Source organism: Homo sapiens, chromosome 3 (assembly GCF_000001405.40).
Source record: "Homo sapiens chromosome 3, GRCh38.p14 Primary Assembly".
Lineage (NCBI taxonomy): Eukaryota > Metazoa > Chordata > Mammalia > Primates > Hominidae > Homo > Homo sapiens.
Window position 1 is genome coordinate 25,873,771 of NC_000003.12, and position 22,650 is coordinate 25,896,420.

The 22,650-nt window shown below is 38.5% G+C and overlaps 1 long non-coding RNA gene across 2 annotated transcripts in view; it reads left to right on the forward strand.

Annotated features, from left to right (window-relative positions):
- The first annotated feature begins 7 nt into the window (after nt 1-7).
- LOC124909357 (uncharacterized) overlaps nt 8-22,650 on the forward strand; it is a 105,069-nt gene continuing 82,426 nt past the window's right edge. The window contains exon 1 of one of the 2 annotated variants that reach the window (XR_007095849.1): nt 8-233. This is a non-coding gene — a long non-coding RNA (uncharacterized LOC124909357). The remainder of the gene's footprint in view (nt 234-22,650) is intronic. The other variant, XR_007095848.1, reaches the window with a different exon arrangement.

The window sequence follows — 22,650 nt, forward strand, 5'->3', positions numbered from 1 at the left end:
TTTCCTAGGAGTTCTGCTGGAGCTACATGCCTGAACACCAACCAATAACCTTTTCATGTGGCTGAGACCTTTCATATGGCCACAGTCCTCAGAGACAGCATCCCAAGAGTGATCCTTTTAAGAGGCTCAGGTAGAAATTGCAAGGTGTTTTTACAGTCTTTTCAGAGGTTGGAGTGTCACTTCTGTCATATTCTGCTGGTTCAACAAGCCAGTAAAGCCAAGCCCAGAGTAAGGTAATAAGACTCCACTTCTTGATGAGGAAATGTCAAAGTCATATTGCGGAACAGCGTATTAGATAGGAGATACTATGGTGATCATCTTTGGAAGGTGCAATCTGCCACATCCAGTTCTTCTGTTCCAGATGCCAACAGAGCTCACCTGTATCCAGAACACTCCTGGGCTCTGGCTGGTTTAAATACTTTCTGCATTTACTGGTCAACTCAGAATAATTTATAATTAGTAAGATGTATAGAAGAAATCAGAAAGTATCAATTTTCATAACATATCATGATTCTTTCACAAATCAGACATTCTTGCATTCTTATTCTTGTTGCCAGTGTTTTGCTCCATATGACATTCACAATTCTGTATTCATGTGTACTTTGGCCACTGAAATCCTGTTGTCCTCTTTACCTCTGCGTTGACCTTTTTGTGTTTCAGATGCTTGACTTGCTCTTGATCCCTGGTACCCAAGACTTTCATCACCTCTGCTTTCAAAGTTTGGCCTCCAGGCCTTTGAACTACCTCTAATAACTGTTTTTTTTTTTTTTTTTTTTTTTGAGAGGAGTCTCGCTCTGTCTCCCAGGCTGGAGTGCAGTGGTGCAATCTTGGCTCACTGCAAACTCTGCTCCCGGGTTCACGTCATTCTCCCACCTCAGCCTCCTGAGTAGCTGGGACTACGGGTGCCCGCCACCACGCCTGGCTAATTTTTTGTATTTTTAGTAGAGACGGAGTTTCACCATTCACAGGATGGTCTCGATCTCCTGACCTCATGATGTGCCCGCCTCGGCCTCCCAAAGTGCTGGGATTACAGGCATGAGCCACCGCGCCCGGCAATAACTGTTAGCTTAGCTTCCGTAGCTGCTGCCTTTACCACTTGACGTACAGATAATTGATGCGAATGCAGAGGAAACCTGAATGTTTGGCTTTCCTATCTTGACCCCACTTCTACCCAGTCCTTTTTAGGTTTTAATTTTATTAACTTGCTCCCATTGGTGTCTCCTTCCCATCAGGATGGAGGTATATTTATGCCTAAAATCTGAATTTTTCCCCTTCACGGTGAAAAACAAAGATTCCCTGCCACATGCCTTTCGTATAAGAGCCCTAAGACTTAGTGTTTTCAGTCTTCAACATCTCCTATATTATTAGGCTATTATTCTCTCTGAAGGCTATTTCTGTACTTTAATTCAGGAGGTATATTTGCTCTAGTCTCAGTCATTTAGTATGTTTTTGCAGGGATTCAGCAAAAGCCTCTTCTATTCATTTAACATATTGAAGGAAATACTTTTAAAAAGGAAGATAGGGGAAAACCCAAGAGTTTGAATAAGTGTTTTAATGGACTGAAAATAACTGATACAAATGGAACATAATTGGATTAAATGATAAGAATCCCTAACCTGTATCGATCACTCATGGGTCTCTAATTTTGGCAAGCGATGATAGTTAAAATGCATTGGTAATTGGTAATAGGAGACTAGATTATTTTTCCTAGGAACTGAAAATCGTGTAGAATATATCTTTTCCAATTTTGGAAAATTGGAAACATTTCAAGTTGTGGGTAACAGTTTTCTTGACGTTATTTCAACTCCTAAATTCAATCTGAAAGTTTTTTATTAATCATTTATCATGTCTTAGGCCACTGTAGGTGTGTGTGACTATGTGGGTAAGGGACATCGTTAATAGATTGACAATCCTTGCCCTCAATGATTTTCAGCTCAATAGAAGAGATAACACACTCACCCAAATAGCCAGCATACAATCCCTGTGTGATGTTTGTTATTGAGAAGTGTATTTTTTGTTATGTGCTCTTGGATTTGTGCCTTGAGAAATAGGCTTTAATGTGCCAGGGGGTACTGGGGAGTTAAAAGGGCATTCTAAGTGGAAAATCCAGCTGGGATAAAAGTAACAGAGGCAGGCCCTCACAGCTTTTTTAGGGAAATAATGATTAGATGAGTTTTAACAGCACATGTGATATATAGTGGGGGAAGTAATGGGCTGTAAGATTACAGAGATAAGTTTGAGCCATTTGGTGATGACTTTGAATGGCTTAAATGAGAGCATCTGTATTATTCAGTAGGCCATAAGGGTACATTTCCCTACTAATTTATAGGGCATCTTTGCAATATACCATATGATACATAGATATATCTGTTTCTGAGTTTTCTATTTCATTGGTACATTTTTTCCATTTGTGCATCAACATCACACTGTTTTAATTACTAAAGATTAGTAATGTCTTTATATGAACTTGTTTTTTCATATATGAGACATTATCTTATTTCTTGAATATGGGATAAAATGTACCTATAAAATTGTGGGAGGTTAGGGTGTTCTTTTGGTAGATATTGAAAAAAATTAATCAGTTTTTCTAGGTTTATTTGGGAATTCCATTTTTATTGAGCCAATTTTTGTGTTTTTATGCTTTTCCAGAAAATTATTCATTTTATCTAACTTTAAAAATTATTGGCATATTCTTATTCATATTCTTATCAATTATGGAATTGCTTGATTAGGGAAGTCACATCTTCAGTTTTACTAGATAGTGACTTTTCAAGTCTTTGTACTAATCTGAGTAGTTATCTTCAAGAATATTATTTCCCCATCATATCTTTGATTCTATTTATATGGCACTATTTTTGCTATTGTTTGAGCCTCTCTATCTGTCTTTGTCTCTGTCTCTGTTTCTCTCTCTCTATCCATATAGACACAGATATCTTAAAATCCCTTTATTTCTGTGCTACATTCTGAGTGAATTCCTTAGACTGCCTTCCAATTTATTAATTATTTTTCTCTTTGGGCTGGACTAGCACTTTATTTTGTCTATCTTTTTAAAAACTTTAATGTTTATAAGTTTAATTTTACTAATATGTATTTATCATTATCTGTTCTTTATTACTGACTGCTTTGGATTTAGACCTCTTATTTATTTTATGAGTGTTATTTCTTTATCTTCTTGAGGGTATTAACTTTTTTGGCATAAATCCATAATCTGATTCATAGACTGTCTTAACTGTAATTTCATTTATGTGTCTTGGTTTTAAGGGTTTTCTGGCTCATCGTATATTGAAGATTGTCTCTTTCTCTGTATAATTTATCCCCGTTTAGCAGTTTTGAGGTTGCACCCACCTGCCTCCTGCCTGACCACCTGGCCTTTGATCCAGGACCATGTCTCATACTGGTGCTTTCTTGCTCTTGTCCCTCAGTGATAATTGGGCTATTGCAGAATCAGTCACAGAGTCAGGGGATGGCTTGGCTCAGTATCTTGTCGCAAGGTGCTGTGTGTGTCCATCTGCCTCATTAGGCATGAGGTTTGTGTAAGTAGCAGCTACAGGCAATGGTTGGCAGCATATATTCTTCCTCCTCTTAGGAGCAGAGGAGTCCAACTCCAGCCTCTTCCCAACACAGCCAAATTCCCAGAATCCTCTGCCTACTTATGTATGCAAAGGACCACAGGCCTTGCTGGGTCCTGCTCATTACTGAATATTTTGGTGCCCTTGCTTCTTGGAGTTGCTTATCTCAATTTTAAATGCAGTCATATGTTTTGGTCATCTTTTAAAAATGTTATTTATCATTGTTATATGTTCAAAACACACAAAGTCCTCAAAACATAAACTCAAGCATAACTAATTTTAAAAACTAAAATCTTTCCAAATAATTTAAGGTTAACTCACATTTATTTATTTATTTTTGTAGAGATGTGGTCTCACTGTGTTGCCCAGGGTGAACTTGAACTCCTGGGCTCAAGTGATCCTCCCATCTTGGCCTCCCAAAGTGCTGGGGACATGAGCCACTAACATTTATTTTGAATAGCAGATTTTCATCCTTCCGTTCTTATTTGTCTTTCTGTGGTGATTAAGATGTCTAGTATTATAGCTACTTATTCAGTTTTATCTTTGTGTTTTCTTTTTATGTTGATATTTGTGTTTGCTTCACTTGCCCACATAATGTAATGTTGAATGGCACAAACATGTGACTTAGGCCCAAGAATCATTTCAACACTATAGTTCTAGTCCCAAGGAAATTATTGCTGGTTTTATCAAGAAAAAAATTGTGAAGATTTCTTTTGTAAATTTAAGGTAGCACTCAGTTCACTCAGAGCCATTGCTATTTGCATTATGTTTTTGTTTTAGATTTTATAATGGAAAACTTGAATATTCAGTCTACAGCCCACATCACAACATATTAATGAGAATTAGATAAGGAAATGTACGCTACAACACTTTGTAAATTTTAAAGCCACATGAGTTAATTATTATCTGTTTTAAGCAAATTATTCTGTTTCAATTTATACATAAAGGCTATTTTAACAGATTTTGTTCTGTAGAACAAAAATTCTGTTTCCAAGTAATAGAAAAGTGTATGAATTATCCTGTTTTGCATTTTAATACTATCATTAAAGCTTAATTGACAATTGTTAATGTTTTATTAAACAATGAAGTAGGCAATCATAAACTCAAGACTGTGGGTACTCATCGTCTCAAAATTAATAGCCCTTAGGATGGAAGGACTGCATATTTCAACAATTTTTGCAACAATACAATGGAAGTATGCTAGAACCATAAGGGACCTTAAGGTTGAGCATCCATCAACTAAATCAATTTTGCTTTGATTAGGCCAATCCAACCAGTGGTAATTTTCATCAAAATTTAAATTGCTGAAATGGACCCAAAGGAGTTTTGACCTTGATCTTAATACTATGGTTATTTAGATTCAGTATAACTCAGGTAGAACTTTCCAGAACCTAGTTAGAATACTGCTGTACTTGGAGTCAGTATACAGGCATGTCTTTGGGTATTAAACCTACCATGTAATGAACTTCTGGGCACTTTCTTAGCTAAAACTTTTTAGAAGGGGCCTGTGATAGACCAACTTAATGAAAATATCTGCTCCTTAGAGCTCTCATTGCAGCAAAATCATGGCTTGTTATTAGATTTACCTTTTTTGTATTGGACTTGAAGACAGATATGATTCCTATAAAATGCTTATGTTTTTGTGAACTGTTGCATGATCTCAGCCATATATTAGAGGTTTGTTTATAGTGAGATAGAAAGCAGGCTTCAAATTTCTGTGTTCTCTTATGGTCATGTTTGTAGACTTTTGTAGAATGATTAAATAATGTCCTTTCCCACTTTTTAGACTTGTGAAATTTTGGATGTCTTTTACTAGTGAAAGGAATTCTACAGTTTTCCATGACTTGTCTTGTTATTTAAATCCTCTGTTCTCATACACTATAATGCCTGTGATGACATAATGTAATGACTGTGATGACAATTTTGCATGCTACTTCATAGCTCAGAAAGTCTGCTAAATAGTATGTGTTCAGTGCCTCTTAGTTATTATCACTAATTGGGAGTGGAAGGGAAGCAGTGGTCTAGAGAAATCAAACAGCAATTAGTTTTTATTTGTATTGTGGTAAAATATACGTAATGCAAAATGTATCACTGTAACCATTTTTATGTGTTCAATTCACTGGCATTAAATACATTCATGATGTTGTGCCATCATAACCACTATTCATTTCTAAAGTTTTTCATCATCCTCAATAGAAACTCTGTGCCCATTAAATAATAACTACCAATTCCCTTTTCCCCTCAGCCACTGCTAACCTGTATTTTACATTCTGCCTCTATGAGTTTGACTATTCTAGATACCACACATAAGTGGAACCACACAATATTTGTTTTTTTGTGTGTGTGTCTGCTTGCATTTCGCATAATGTTTTCAAGGTTCACCCAAATTGTAGCATGTATTAGAATTTCATTCCTTTTTAAGGCTGAATATTCTATTGTGTGTGTGTGTGTGTGTGTGTGTGTATAACATTTTTATATATATATAAATATATATAAATTATATATACACACACACACCACATTTTGTTTATTCATTCATTTGTTGAAGGACACTTGGGCTGTTTCCACCTTTTGACTGTTGTGAATAATGCTGCAATGAACATTGTCTTACAAGTATCTGTTTGAGTCTCTACTTTCAATTCTTTTGGGTATATATACAGAAGTGACATTATTGGATTACATGGCAGTTCTTTTTTTCTTACTGAAGCTGGCCTAGAGAGATAATTCTATGTTAACTTTTTGAGGAACCGACAAACTGTTTTCCACAGTGGCTGCACCATTTTACATTCTCACTATCAATGCACAAAGGTTCCACTTTCTCCATATCCTCATCAACACTTGTTATTTTCTGGTGTGTGTGTATTTTTTTGTTTTTGATGGTAGCCATCTTAATGGATAAGTGGTATCTCATTGTGGTTATACTTTCCCTAATGACTAGTGATGTTGAGCATCTTTTCATGTGGCCATTGACCATTTGTATACCTTATTTGGAGAAATATCTATTCAAGTTCTTTGCCTTTTTTCTGAGATGGACAATTCGTTTTTAATAAATTACCTTGAATTTGGACTGTATGTTGGGATCCTTTTGTCTGTAGAATTATCTTGTTGACCAAATGACATAATACATATAGAAATAATGATGTTGAATTTGATGAATAATGATGTTAAATTTCTTACCTAAAATTTGAAAAAAAAATTTGTTATTTGTTATTCAGTTCTGATAGAAAGCCTGGTTGTCAGATATGTTTCTGTTTTATTGATAATGGTTTAGAGACAATCAACTTAGATCAGACAGTATCACTGCTTAGTGCAATTGGTATGTCCACAAATAATTGCATATAATATTAATTTTTGTCACTAGAATTATGTCTAAAGAATTCTCTATTTAGACATAAAATTACTTACTAATTTATTTGTTGTAGATCTGGAATTTTATACATTAATTTTGTTCTCAGTGGAACATGTCTATGATAAAATTTCCTTCTCTGATTCAATAAGAATAACAATAAGTATGCAGAGGCTTTGGACATAGAATCTCTGTTCCAGGCACTAATGAGATCTTCAAAAAAAGTATAAGATTTGATTTTAGGTCTCACAGAATTTAAGAATTTCAGTTTGTGTTAGATCCTATGATCAGAGACTGTGAAAGAACTTCAGAAGATAATGACAGTGATGAGATTGGGAGCCTGTGTCTTGAACCTACAGGACATCTGAATCCCCCTTGGGGGTCTTCTTGGTATCTGAGGAATGTGCCTCTTAGACATAATTGGTGAATATGGAAAGCTGGTCTGAGACTAATATAGATTGTGTTTAAATCTAGAGCAAGAGAACACTGTTTGCTCTGCTGGCAGGATACATCAACATCCTTGGCCCGCAGACTGCTTAAATGAAAATTTAAGCCAACATGTAAAATCTAGCATATTTCAGCATACATTTTTTTGTTTTTTTTTTTTTTTGGTTTCTTTTGAAACATCAGAAGATCTGGACACACTAGGCCTTCATTTCTTCACCTTTTAGATCTGTGTTGTTCAACAAGGTAGCCACTAAGCCCATGTGGATATTTTATATTTACATTTAAGTGAATGAACCTTAAATATAACTAAAAATTCAGCTACTTATTCACATTAGCAATAGTCACATGTGGCTATCGTATTGGACCGTGCAGATACAGAACATGACCATTTCTGCAGAAAGTTTTCTTGGATGCACTGCCTTGGATGGTGCATGTACTTCTCATTTGCCTCAGTCATCACTAATCCCCAGTTTCTTACATCCATCCATTTTCTCATTTATATTACTTGCTGTCCTTGTTATTTGAATACCTGACCCCCAATCTAAAGGAACTGTGTAGGATGGTATAAGCAGATAGAGCCTGAATTACTGTGTCTGAAAAGGCAGCAGACGTTTCTTGTAATTTGTCAAAGCAAGGCCTTCTCAGTTGTTACAACTTTGGACGCCAGGGAGCTTGTATTAGTTTCCTATTGTTATTGTAACAAATTACCGCAAACTTGTGGCTTAGCACAAATTCATTATCTTACAGTTCTGGAGGTCAGAAGTCTGAAAGGCATCTCACTAGGCAGAAACCAGAGTGATGGCAGAGGAGAGTTCCTTCTGGAGGTCTAGGAGAGCATCCATATCCTTTCCTTTTCCAGCTTCTAAGGCTGCCCACATTCAGTGCTCCTGACCCTTTTCCATCTTGAAAGCCAGCAATGACAGGTCAAGATATTCTCACACTGCATCACTTTGACACTGACTCTTCTTCTATATTCTTCTTTCACTTGTAAGGACCCTTGGATTTACGTTAGACCCACCCTGATAATCCAGGGAAATCTCCCGATCTCAAGATCCTTAATTTAATCATATCTGCAAAGTCCCATTTGCCATGTGAAATGACACAGTCCCAGATTCTAGGGGTTAGGACATGGGCATCTTTGGGGGCTCATTACTCTGCCTACCATAGAGCTCTTGGCCTTAATTGTTCTATCCAGTCCCACATCTGCTGGATGACTTGAACAAGATTTAAATTGAATGAGAAGTATACCCTATACTACATGCCTAATGCTGTCTCATTAAAACTTTTTTTCACTGCTTTTGTCGGAACTAGATAAATGGCATGTCTATCATCAGCATTTTAGAAGGATAACTTATTTTACAGACAGTGCCTTACTTAGTATACAGATGCTAAAATATTTTGGGATTATTTTCTGTCTCAGAGAATGGTCATGCAAAACAACACCATTGCTGTAAAATGTGGCGTTAGAGCCATTGCAGCACACGGAATGGCAGAGGCACTTGAGGCAGGCACACTGAAGTCAGAAGATACAAAGTTCAAGGTTGAGGGGTGTCAACCTGTTTGGCTGTGTGAGTTTGCAAGTCATTTGTCTTATATTTATCTCCATGACAGAACATTTTTTTTCAGCATAGATTTATTAATTTTTTTTTTTTTTTTTTTGAGACGGAGTCTTATTCTGTCACTCAGGCTGGAAGGCAGTGGCATGATCTCGGCTCACTGCAACCTTTGCCTCCTGGGTTCGAGGGATTCTCCTGCCTCAGCCTCCAGAGTAGCTGGGATTACAGGCCTGCACCACCACGCCTGGCTAATTTTTGTATTTTTAGTAGAGACAGGGTTTCACCATGTTGGCCAGGCTGCTCTAGAATTCCTGACCTCAGGTGATCCACCCCGCCCTTGGCCTCCCAAGGTGCTCGGATTACAGGCGTGAGCCACCAGTTTATTAATACATTTTATTGTGAAAGTTCTCTACATTTATCTTGGGAAATTTCCATTTACTGTATATTTGGCCTATGAATGACTTAGAAGGTTATGAGAGAGAGGAGTGAGAAAGGCTAAATCACTTGACTAATATAAACTGAGGCAAAAATAACCCATTGATAATTGCTGATGTCTTCTTAAATTTCTGCATGCACTTTTCTGAATTTATCATGAATTTGACTCAAATGTGTGTCAACCTTTAATAGTATTAATTCCTTCATATGACAGAAAATTTTTTAAAAACTGCTGTTACATTGTTATAAAGGGCAAACAGTTGCTTCTAGAAGTGAAATGTTGATCCAGATGGCAGAAGGCAGAAAGAGAAGAGGTTTGGGGGAACGGGTGAGAAGAGAGGTGAGCCAATGCAGCCAAACATTTTTGTAGAGTTTCAGGAGAGAGGGAAAATACATTTTTGAGCAGTTGCCATGATGATTGGTTCTATGTGTCAATTTGACTAGCCTACAGTGCCCAGTTATTTAACAAAACATTAATCTACCTGTCTCTGTGAAGGTATTTAGTAGATAAGTTTAACATCTACAACCAGTTGACTTTAAGTAAATATTACTCTTGATGATGTGGGTGGGCCTCATCCAATCAGTGGAAGGCCTTAGGAGCCTCCTCCAGCTGAAGTTTCCTGAAGAAGAAGAAATTCTGCCTTAAGACTGCAGCTTCTACTTCAAAACTGCCTGAGTTTCCAGACTGCTGGCTTGCCTTTGCCAGCCCCTACAATTGCGTGAGCTAATTCCTTAAATCTCTCTCTCCCTCTCTCACTACATTTTGTCTCTTCTATTGGTTCTGTGTTTCTGGAAAACCCTGGATAATACAGCTACCAAGAGGTCTTTAGGGAGAAATGGGAATGGAGTGGTTTTGAGGAAGTTTTTTTTCTGGGATTTGTGAAGGTTTGGACTTCCAAAGTCAGACTTGAGTTTTTCTTTTTAATATGATGGCTTCCATGCTTTAAATTTCAAGGAGAAAGGTCTGGGGTCTTAGTCTCTAAATTTCTGCTCCAGAGAGTCTCAGCTTTCTTCTCAAAATGAAGTTGAGAACCAACATCATCTACTCCCACACTCAGGCTGGACGTTGAGAACTGAAACCACTCCTTAATGTCTATACTAATGTCACTTTGATATTCCACTGTTTCTATCAAAAGACTATTTTTCTAGGAATCTCTTTCCAGGCAAATGGCTTGATTATTTATTATGGGAACTGTTCTCACGCTTCTAATAAAGACATTCCCGGAGAGTGGGTAATTTATAAAGGAAAGAGGTTTAATGGACACGCAGTTCCACATGGCTGGGAAGGCTTCACAATCATGACAGAAGGCAAATGAGGAGCAAAGTCATGCCTTACCTGGCGGCAATCAAGAGGGCTTGTGTAGGGGAACTCCCTTTCATAAACCCATCAGATCTCATGAGATTTATTCACTATCATGAGAACAGCATGGGAAAGACCCGCCCCCATCATTCATTACCTCCCACTGGGTCCCTCTCATGACACATGGGAATTATGGCAGCTACAATGCAAGATGAGATTTGGGTGGGCACACAGCCAAACCATATCAGGAACTTTCCAAAAGTGCCATCAACTCTTCAGTGGAAAGCATCAGTAGATAGTTTGTACCTTAAGATTCTTTTAAATCCCTCATATTTCATAGTTCTCCTTTGCTGTTTTTACCAATCCTGGACTGTTTTATTGTGTTCCTTACCTAACCCTAATCAAGTTCCCACATTGAAAGACCTATTTGAAACCAAACTTCCAATTCTCAATAAATTCTGACCTTGCTTTGCTCTGACGAGCCCCCTATCCTGACACTGTCAGAGCTCTATGGGGGGTGATTTTCTCCCTTACCATAGTGAGCAATGAGTTCAGTTTTATCTTATCAACAGGTGTGCTGGTTTTATTGCGGGAGCCAGTATTCCTCAGATGGGATGAGATATTGAACCAGTTAATCCCAGACCTTTTGCCTGTAGCCATGATCACTTTCTCATTCATTCTGTGTTCCTACAGGCTCATAAATTGTAGATTTCTGTCCTTTAATAAGTAGCCTTTGTCCTATACTCTAGCGCCTTTGTTACTACCCTCAGGGCAAAAAGGCTAGTGAGCATATATAGCTCACTCTGTTTAAGAGATGCATATGTTCTCTTCATTTATCTTGCTCTTTGATGGGTATACAAGCCCTGGAAAGGCTTCTTAGCCCCAGTACTAGGTAAGTAAATTGATTTAACTCAGGGGTAGGTAATAGGAAATTTGATTTCATCCTCAGGTGTAAGCAGTAACCTCTAATCCAGTTTTGCCAGCAATAAAGCTGACATTTTGACTCCTGCCTAACTCCTGTAGCTTTTTCTTAATTATTTTATAATATATAGAGGGAAGATATGTGCTTGATAGTATTGTTATTTGTTATAGCACAGATCCAGCCTGTCAGTAATACTTGTTCCCCCGACTTAGCCCACCTTGCACCATCGAATCTGTGACATGAAGCTATAATTGTCAACACAGGTGCAGCTGTTAAGCTATTTACAGCTGGGATGGTCAGGAAAAATCTCATCGAAGAGGTGATTTAGTTAATGTTGAAGGAATTTATATTGGCAGGAGTGAGCTGATTGGCAGTTCAGGAGGGCTCCGATGGGAATGATGGTGAGTCACTCGGGGCCCTGGGCCATGAGCACAGGAATGTTCAGTTAAAGGAATAGTCAAGTCTGAGTGCTGTGAAAAGGTTTTTGTTTTGGCATAGTGGAAATTAAGGCAGGAAAAGTAGCTGGAGGCCAGATTTAGCTGGTGTTAGCATTTTAATAATGGAAGGCATGATTTTGAAGGATAACATATTGATTAATCAAATTGGAAATAATTCCTCAATCCTGCAAGTAGGAGGCAATTTAAAAGTAATTATTTCCAGAATCTTTGATCATTTCATTTGTTTTTTTTGTCTTTAGTTAGTTGCCCATGGAAGGTAGGATGCACGCACACACACACACACACACACACACACACACACACACACACCCTCGGTAGACTATTAGAAGTGCTTGGAGCTTTTCATCTAATGCTCATTGGCTTTCACACCCAGTAAAGCTGACTTGTGGTTGTCTCCAACAGATATTTGAGAAGAGGTAAAAAAAAAAAAATACAGTAATTAGACTGTGAAACCAAATACCATTGTATCAAATTCAGTGTTTCATTGTGGTTCTGAGTCATGGTCACACCAACAAAATGAATCAAAAGGATAGGATTATGATATACCATTAAAGGATTAACATTTCAACATTTCATAAAGTAGGCACAGAGTATTTTCTTAGTATGCCATCAACTTGCTTATTTTCTACAAACCTTGCATAACAAGATATCTATTTTTTAAACTTTGAAATAAATTATTGATTTGCCAAATTTGCAGTTTGCTAGGGCAGGGCTAGGCAAATTTGCCTAAGGATGCCAAGTACCTTCTGATAGGAAAAAGACTGAGATTCTGGTTAAAAGATAATTCTCAGAGTTAAAATCGTGACTCTTACAGATATAAAAATGAACACTCGTTAGGGCCGGGTGCTGTGGCTGACGCCTGTAATCCCAGCACTTTGGGAGGTCGAGGTGGGCAGATCATGAGGTCAGGAGATCGAGACCATCCTGGCTAACAGGGTGAAACCCCGTCTGCTAAAAAATACAAAAAATTAGCCGGGTGTGGTGGCCGGTGCCTGTAGTCCCAGCTACTTGAGAGGCTGAGGCAGGAGAATGGCGTGAACCCAGGAGGCAGAGCTTGCAGTGAGCCGAGATCATGCCACTGCACTCCAGCCCTGCGACAGAGTGAGACTCTCTCTCAAAAAAAAACAAAAAACAAAAAACTAACACATGTTAAAGATTTTATTTTACTCATATATGACAGAACCTGTCAGATTTTATATCCAATTCAAAGGGAAAGTCAAAAAGCACAAATTTATATGGATTAAGGGAATTGAATGGCAAGTCAAGGTGAAACTGGTTTTTCTACAGAAGGGAGGGAAGCTAATAGAAAATCTACTGTAATAGAATTTGCATTTCTACTAACTTACAGAGTTATAAAATAGCGTAAAGCAATGAAAGGCTAGACTCTGATAAACTGAAAGGATATGCAATATATAGACAATGTTTGGTACTGCACTGAAACACAAACTTTTTCCTGTATACTTGGGAGTAAAAACAGGGCCAGTGGGAAAGATGGTTCTGGATCTAGGAGTCGGTAGGTTCTAGCCCAGCCTGCTGGGGCAGGCTTGTACCCTGTGAGATAGCTGTAATAGGGCTGGATATTTTCCATTTGCTTCTCCAGAGGCACTTGCTCTCCTCCTCTGCTCTGAGATGCTGACTTTTCTGTATTACATCACTGGGCATCCTTGCCTTCTTTTTTCCAGTTGGCTTCACCAATTGAACTCACCAGCAGGACATGGAAGGATGAAGTTGGGTACCCCTGTGCCTCTAGCTCCCTCTCTGTGGGCTTGGTGCAGGCTAGTTGTATTCTTCAACCAAAGATCACAGCTCTGGTCAATCAGTGTCCTGTCTCTGGTTTCCTGTATCCTCTTCCTTCCCCTAGACCTTCAGGCCTGGGGTGGTAACCACTCTCCACTGTCATTAGCTCTGGAGCATTGGGCTACTCCTTGGATTTCCCTGCATCATGCCCATACCTTTGACAATAGTCCCTTTAAAAACATTTATTTGTTTTAAGACAACTATCTGTTGGGACTTTGACAAATATGGTCAGTAAATTTAGAGATATGAAACGGGAAGCAGTGGAAGCCCAAGCCAATTTTGGCAAGGAGTATGTATGGCTCAGTGCAGTACTGACTAGGGTAGGGTGGGCGGGTGCTGGGGAAAGAACCATTGTATTAGTCTGTTCTCACACTGCTATTAAATATAAAGAACAACCCAAGACTGGGTAATCTGTAAAGAAAAGGGGTTTAATTGACTCACAGTTTCGCAGTCTTAACAGGAAGCATGACTGGGAGACCTCAGGAAACTTACACTCATGGCAGAAGGCGAAGGGAAAGCAAACACTTTCTTCACGTGGTAAGAGAGAGAGTGAGCTAAGGGCAAGTGCTACACACTTTTAAACCATCAGATCTAGTGAGAACTCACTCACTATCATGAGAACAGCATGGGGAAAATCCATCCTCATGATTCAATCATTTCCCACCAGGTCCCTCCACCAACATTGGGAATTACAATTCAACGTGATATTTGGGTAGGGACACAGAGCCAAACCATATCAACCATCTTCTCTCATATCTAGATTACTGAGACCTGGCAGAGACCTCAGCTAGTGACAATGGCAGTGATTAGAATACAAGGTGGAGGCTTTCTCTGGGTGTCCTAGATGTCATGTTTCACAGTTTGGCAGATTTGCAGCTGTTAAAGCAACTTACTTCTGATAGCAGATGTCCTATCTTCCAGTCTTAAGATGGCACACCTGAGTTCCAACGCCTCCAAAAACAGGTTGTAGAACACCTAATTAACGTGCTAGTTATGAGTAAACATCTATTATTTAACATAAAGGGTGTTAGAAATACTTTGTGAATTGGTCAAATGGATGTCTTTAAAGATGTAAGTTTGGCTAAAATGATTGCACAGGTACCTTGCATGAATAGGTTAAATCTGGTGAGCCTAGTCACTTAATTTCAGAATGGTTCCCTAGACACAACATTTAGCTCATCATCAATTCCTGTCCTCCCTCACATTGAATATGGAGGATTCAATTTTCTATCTTTAGAAGATTAGCTGATCCTACTGTCATAATATTATTGCATATACTTCAGAATAAAATGTTCATTCAAGATACTTGTTGGAATTTAAATAAGGACAAAAGGGGGACTTCACTGAGCTTATAGTGACAACTATGTATTAGGAAAACTAGATCATGTTTGCTAACAAATAACCCCTAGAATCTCAGTAGTTAAAACAACACAGTCTTATTTTTTACTCATGCTAAATGCATGAGTAAACTCTGCATTACCATCTGCAGAGAGAGTCCACTCTGCATTACCATCACTCTAAACCCCTGTCCTAATGAGCAACCACTAGTTAGAACATTGGAAGATAGAAAAGAGGAAACACCCTCTGGAGGGTCTCATTTTGGCAAATACAAGGCTACTTTGTGACCAGAAGACAAAGGGTTGAGAGTATTTGGGTAACAGCACTATGACTATCACAAGGTGCTTGACTTTTGTTGTTACTACTTGTAACAAATGTTTATATGCATAGCAGACTGTAACCTGAGACTTACTTTCATTATAGCCTACCACCCAGCAGAGAGGCTGTGGGAGAAAAAAACAAAAAGTCCCCACCCATCTTTAATAAGTAGAAACTATTGGTATTTACCAACAAAGTGTTGAACAATTGTTGAATGGACAAATTGTTAGGTCAGTTTACATCCAGTGAAATACTAAAAGAAGAGAAGAATTCTAAGCAAGGAAGAAGGGCGATGGCTACTGTATTTCAGCTCATGTCATCTGCAGCTTAAATGCTTGTCAGTGATGGTGGGGCACTGAAGCACAAAGATAAAACTCTGAAGGCAATCTAGTAGATTCCTAAGACTATTTTAAGCCTATCTTCCTTCTCTCCCTCCCTTGCTCCCTCGCTCCCCTGCTCCCCACTGCCTGCCTGCCTGCCTGCCTTCCTTCCTGCCTTCTTTTCTTCCTTCTTCCCTGCTTCCCTCCCTCCCTTCCTTCCTTAGCAAGCTGTTTATGCTTAGTAAATATTTCAACATCTTGATTATTCTATAGGATCCCATGGCACCAAAGACAAACAGTGAAATTCCAACATTCTCTCACTTGGCTATACAAGCAGGTGGGATCTTTTAAACAATCCCCTTGACTGTTAAGGATTCTGAAGGCCTATTTGGAAGTTTCTGTCTTTAGTCCCAAAAGTAATGGAATATTCAGAGAAACATCTAAATGAGAGTTAATTTCCAGCAAACAATATCCTGGCATTTACTGCCAATTCACTCTAGCCTAGAGCTAACCATCTGACTTGGAGATGAAACTTTTTTGTGTAATACAATATACAAAAAGCGATCATAGTGTTTTTTCTTGTAGCCATTTAAGTGGTATAGGAAATAGGACTGTTACTTACTTTATAGTAATCATCACATTCTGCCCAGCTTTATCCATAATTTAATAGGCATAAGATTCATCTACTCAAATTATTAAATAATTTAGCAAATTTGTAATTTAGATAAATCACCTTACATTCCCCTATGTAAACAACTAGTTAAAATACACCACATCTAGAAAGAGCTTTTCTCAGAAATATTTTTACTCTATAATGAGTCTTCTGAATATAAAATAAGCGTATTTAAACTTAAAAACAGCTGGCCTTACCTCCATCATGACTAAATATAAGGACTTGTTGAATTACAGCAATTAGTAATTAGTAAAAAGAAATAGAGATCTATGTGTTACTTTGGTGTGAATTTAAAAAAAAGTTGCTTGAGAAGTGGAGATGGCGTAATCTCTATGCATTGAATGTAAACAATAACCCTTTTTTCTTCCTGAATCTCAGAAGCAAAAGTTTAAAAACTTTAGTCATTAGACTTATCTAAAATGTTACTGATACACATGCAATATTTTCTGTTGTATTTTCACAAAGAAAAAATTTCCTAAACATACCATTAAAGCAGGTTATATACTTATATTTATGATTAAGTTGATTCCACTAAGAATCCATTCAATTTTCTTTCTTTTCTGTCCTTGTCATAAGTGGAAATCCTTGAGATATGAGAATGCTAATGGGGAGGCCATGGGTAGGGAAGGAGAGCGTGATTATGGGTTGAAAAGAGTTGGTCAACCTTGAAGTCCTGTTAGCCTTTTCGATTAGCACACTATCCAGTCAAGCTTCCCACAGCTAGGGAATCTTGTAAATTTGACCAAGTTTGTTTTTAGCTTCCTTTCTGACACTTTATTTGCTCTTCCAAGGAGCTTAATACTCCTGATTTTTTTATGCTCTGTCATTTGTCCCTCTTTTGGAGTTTTTTATTTTTTAAGATGACACACAATAATTGTCCAAATTTATAAGGTACCTAGTGATGTTTTCATACATATAATGTACAGTAATCAGGCATCTGCCACCATGCCCAGCTAATTTTTGTATTTGTAGTAGAGACGGGGTTTCACCATGTTTGCCAGGCTAGTCTCGAACTCCTGACCTCAAGTGCCCCGCCCACCTCGGCCTTCCAAAGTGCTGGGATTACAGGCGTGAGCCACTGTGCCTGGCCCACATCTATTCTTTGTTTCATTTTATTACTTTTCAAGATGGCAATGATTCAAATAGATTTTGGATAAAATGTTAGACAACTGATGGGTTACCCTTTACAATGGCACAATGCGTCAAACCAGTGAAAATACCATAGGCTGTAAGCATGCCTCAATAAGTCAGATTCACTGACATCCACTTTTAGAGGCAATAAATGTGAAACTCTCTAGTATGCTTGGCGTATTGGAGGACATTCCACACTGTTAATTTAAAAAATATTTAAAAGTAAACACATCTGGTAACATGGATCCTTCCATTTTTGTTTATATAATATAAAGGTGGTTATCTACACATAGAAAAAAGTCGTTTTATTTCCATCTCTAGAGGTAACATATTTTTAGATAATACTTATAGGTAGGACATTAGAAGGATATTAGAAAATATCTTATTTACCAAAGGTTCTTATTAAGAACGCAGGTTCCGAGGCTCCATCTCAAACCTATTGGAGCTAGTTTCTGGGTAGCATGGCCCAGGAATTTTCATTATATCAGGATTCTTATGTATTCTAGAGTTCAAAACCCTATACTGCTCAGTGGCATGAGGCCTTTGAGCCAATCATTACACTTAGTTTGATTAACTGTTACCTTTAATAGTGAATATGAGCCCATAAGAAAACATGGGAAATCTGAATTTCTTTCAGAGGTACCATCTTTTTTCAAACTCTAATAGTTACAATTTGAATTCTTTTAAAAATACCTTCTGTTTTTCAGAGATATCTATAGATTTCTGCAAGAAGGAAGGTAACAGCTATCAAGAGAAGGACTAGGACAGTGAGGATTTATACCTTTCTGTCTTTCCTCCATTTATTTGTCTCTTAAACACATCATTAATACAAAAACAAGAAAGTAAATAATTCATCAAAATAAATACATATAAATATGTAAATATTAAAAAACCATCTTAGTTTAGGTCTAAGTCATGCCATAAACAGAATGTGTACACTAGGGTCATTGTTCACAATGGGGACTGAACTTGATCACTGTTTAAAAATTATGATCCCTTGGATGGGTGTCCTCCAATGGCTGCCAAACATAGATAAGCAGAAAACCAAGTGTGCATGCTCCAGACTTCTACTCTTGCCTTAACTAAAGCAAGCTTACTTTTATGTTTGCCACATTAGGGGTCCACAAGGAATACATTTGGAACAAGAAAATCAGTGTACTATAAGAAGTCCAGGTGTCAGATTTTAATAGGGATTCAAGTTTAGAAAAGCACATCTAGGTTTTCTTTAAGTGCTTAAAAAGATTAAAGAGCCTGCCTTGTGCTAACAGCAGGGATACTTTTCATTTCTTTTGTTTTAGGGTTGGTAATTTCCACTGGAGTGGAGGGTGGAATTTCACTGTGTGTAACATAGTTAATAGGGAAAAAGGGTTCCTATTTCATAAGCTACTCTGATGGGGGCATTTATCCACTTAGAAAAACCAGATTTACTCACTGAGAAACCCACTGAAGTCATCTGCTCTACACGTGTTCTTGGGCAAGTTCATTATTCATCTTCTGCTGCAGGTTGCTAATTTTTTAAAAAAGCTATTAATTAGGGTCAGGCACGGTGGCTCACACCTGTAATCCCAGCACTTTGGGAGGCCAAGGTGGGCAGATCACAAGGTTGGGAGTTCAAGACCAGCCTGGCCAACACAGTGAAACCCCGTCTCTACTAAAAATACAAAAATTAGCCGGGCATGGCAGTGCGTGCCGGTAGTCTCAGCTAGTTGGGAGACTGAGGCAGGGGAATCATTTGAACCCGGGAGGTGGAGGTTGCAGTGAGCCGAGATTGTGCCACTGCGCTCCAGCCTGGTGACAGACTGAGACTCCATCTAAAAAAAAAGTTATTAATTTCTGCTTTCACCATTTGCACATGGTTTTTGTTATTAGTAATTGATCACAATGACCTGGCAGTCACTTGGTATGCAACAGATGGGCACTGGACTAGGACAGAGATGATGATTATGATTGGCTTGTGATAATAATGAAGTACAAAACTAACTATCTTTTAAAAATAAGTTGAGAAACCCCAGCAAATTTTCATGTGACTAAGTTAGATTTCAGTCTCTAAAGGCAACCTAGTCTAGACCCAAGTTCCAATCACAGGATTCAGTGTAAATTAGATGTCATCTCCTTAGTCTTGTCTCATATCCTCTCTCAGCTTCTCAACTACCCACTTTCATGGACATACCTTAGATATTGACATCAACTATAGTTAAAATCTTAATTTCAAGCATTCCACACTTATTTCAATTTTTCACCCCCATCAGGGCCTTCAATCTAAGGATGCTAAAATACTTTCACTTTACCTCAGCCCCATTATGTTTTTACTTCCTTTGTCACTTCATTTAGATTCCACTTTCCATCATGATAACACTCTGCTGTGTGCCTTCTTAACTGTCTTATTCCTCTCTACAGTTGTATGTTTGGCAAAATCCAACCCTGGTAAATCTCCTTGTTCCCTGTACTTGAGCAACTGAGAAAGACATAACCATGATGACCTAGCTCACTCTAAATATATGACCATGAAGCTCTAGTAGGCTTGGTAAACTTAGGTCATTTCTCCTTTCAACACTCTCCCGTACTTCCATGTGGCTATTTCACACAATACACAGTGGGGATTAGGTTCAGCTGAATGTAACAGAAATCCACTGATGAATCTTCTTACATAAAGCACAAGAAAGTATTTAATGGCTCTTTGAAAGTTCTACAAAGTTGTCAGGGACTCAAGAACCTTCCTTATTTTTTTCTTCTTCCTCTGCCATGCTTATACATGGCTTTTATCCTCAAGGTAACTAATATGGTTGCTGGAGTGTCAGTCTTCATATCTGAGTTCCAAGGAGCAGAAAGAGGAAGGCACGAGACACACGAGGCACCTCTCAGCTGAGGTACTCCCCTTTAAGGAGTCTTCTTGGTAGTATCATACAACTGCATACTTTTTGCCATAATCACACATCGTCAACTCATCACACTTAACTGAAAGGGAGGATAGAACATAAAATCTTTCTCTGTGTAACACAGGGCCAAGCTAAAAATAGGGGTTCTTTTACTAAGGAAGAGAGAGAAAATGGATATAGGACAAATCATTTTTGCTACATGCCTTTTCTTCTCTCCTCAAATTTCAGCATCTCTCCACTGCCTTGCTCTCCACCAAGACCTTGCTTGTTTCTCTGAGAAAATAGAAGCAGTTGGAAGACATTATTCACATACTTCCATCAACAAATTAACTAACTCATCTACTTTCAGCTCCACATTTCCCTTTAGCTATTGTTCCATTTCTCTGCTCCCTTTGAGAATAAACTTCTCAAAAGCATGTCAATTGCCTCTTCTACTTCATTGTCCCCCATTCTCACTAGAATCTAGTATAACCAGGCTTATGTTTTCTGAAACTATATTATCAAGGTCACCAACGACCTTCATGTTGTCAAATCCAATGGTCCTCACTTTACTTGACATGGTTCTCTCATCTTATATGGTTCTCATTTTAGTTGACATAGTTCATCACCTCCTCCTTGAAACTTTTTCATCTCTTGCCACTCAGTATACCCCAGTCTCTTTGTTCTCTGTCCACCTCTCTGGCTACTCAGTTCACATTCTCTTCGCTGAATCCTTTTTATCTTTAATGACCTCTTAACATCTCCACTTGAATGCCTATTAGGCATCTCAAATTTAACATGTGCCAAACTAGAACTCTTTATCTGAATATCCTCATCTTTCAGTCTTTCCCATTTCAGATGATGACAATTCTATTATTACTGTTGCTCTGACCGAAAGCTTTGAAGTCATCATTGTCTTTTCTCTGTTTCAAGTTCTACATCTTGTGTGTAAATCCTATTGGCTCCACCTTCAAAACATAGCCACAGCCTGACCTCTTCTCACTATCTCTGCTGCTAAGGGCCTAGTTCAAGCCTCATCGTTAATCACTGGGAACAGTGTAATTGGACTCTGTGTTCCTGCCCTCTTTCTAGAATTTTCTTTTCAACATACCAGTCAGAGTAACCCTTTAAAAATGTAAATTAAATCCCACCACTCTTCTGGTACAAATTTTCCAATAAATTCTCATCTTAGAATAAACCCCAAACTTCTTAGCTTCTGACCACAACCTACAAGGTCCTACATGATCCAACCCCTGCTACTCCTCTAACCTAATCTTTTCTTCCTGTCCTTATACTTCATTATGCTCCCATCACACAGACCTACATGCTATTTTTCAAACATACCAAATACATTTTTTACTTCAGGGCCTATGCACTTGCAGAATCAGCTCTCGGGAATGCTTTTCCTGCAGTTACGCATAGGAATGTTACTCACTTTATTCAGCTGTTGGCTCATGCATCATCATCCCAGACAACTTGTCCTTACTACTCTAGGTAAAATAGTACTTTCTTTTGCTTTTCAGCCAATTTATCCTGCTTCGCTTTTTGCATGGTCCTTAGTATTACCTGGCAGACTTATTTATATATTTGTTTATTTCTGGCTTCCCCTATTAGAATGCAAAATTCAGTAGAGTAGGGATCTTTTTTTTTTTTTTTTTTTTGAGACAGAGTCTTGCTCTGTCACCCAGGCTGGAGTGCAGTGGCACAATCTTGGCTCACTGCAAGCTCCGCCTCCCAGGTTCATGCCATTCTCCCACCTCAGCCCCCCAGTAGCTGGGACCACAGGCGCCGGCCACCATGCCCGGCCAATATTTTGTATTTTTAGTAGAGACGGGGTTTCACCGTGTTAGCCAGGATGCTCTCGGTCTCCTGACCTTGTGACCGACCCTCCTCGGCTTCCCAAAGTGCTGGGATTACAGGCGTGAGCCACTGCACCCAGCATTTTTTTTTTTTTTAAGTTGGAGTTTCTTCCTTGTTGCCCAGGCTGGAGTGCAATGGCACAATCTTGGCTCACCGCAACCTTCACCTCCCAGGTTCAAGCAATTCTCCTGCCTCAGCCTCCTGAGTAGCTGGGATTACAGGCATATGCCACCATACCCAGCTAATTTTGTATTTTTAGTAGAGATGGGGTTTCTCCATGTTGGTCATGCTGGTCTCGAACTCCTGACCTCAGGTGATCTGCATG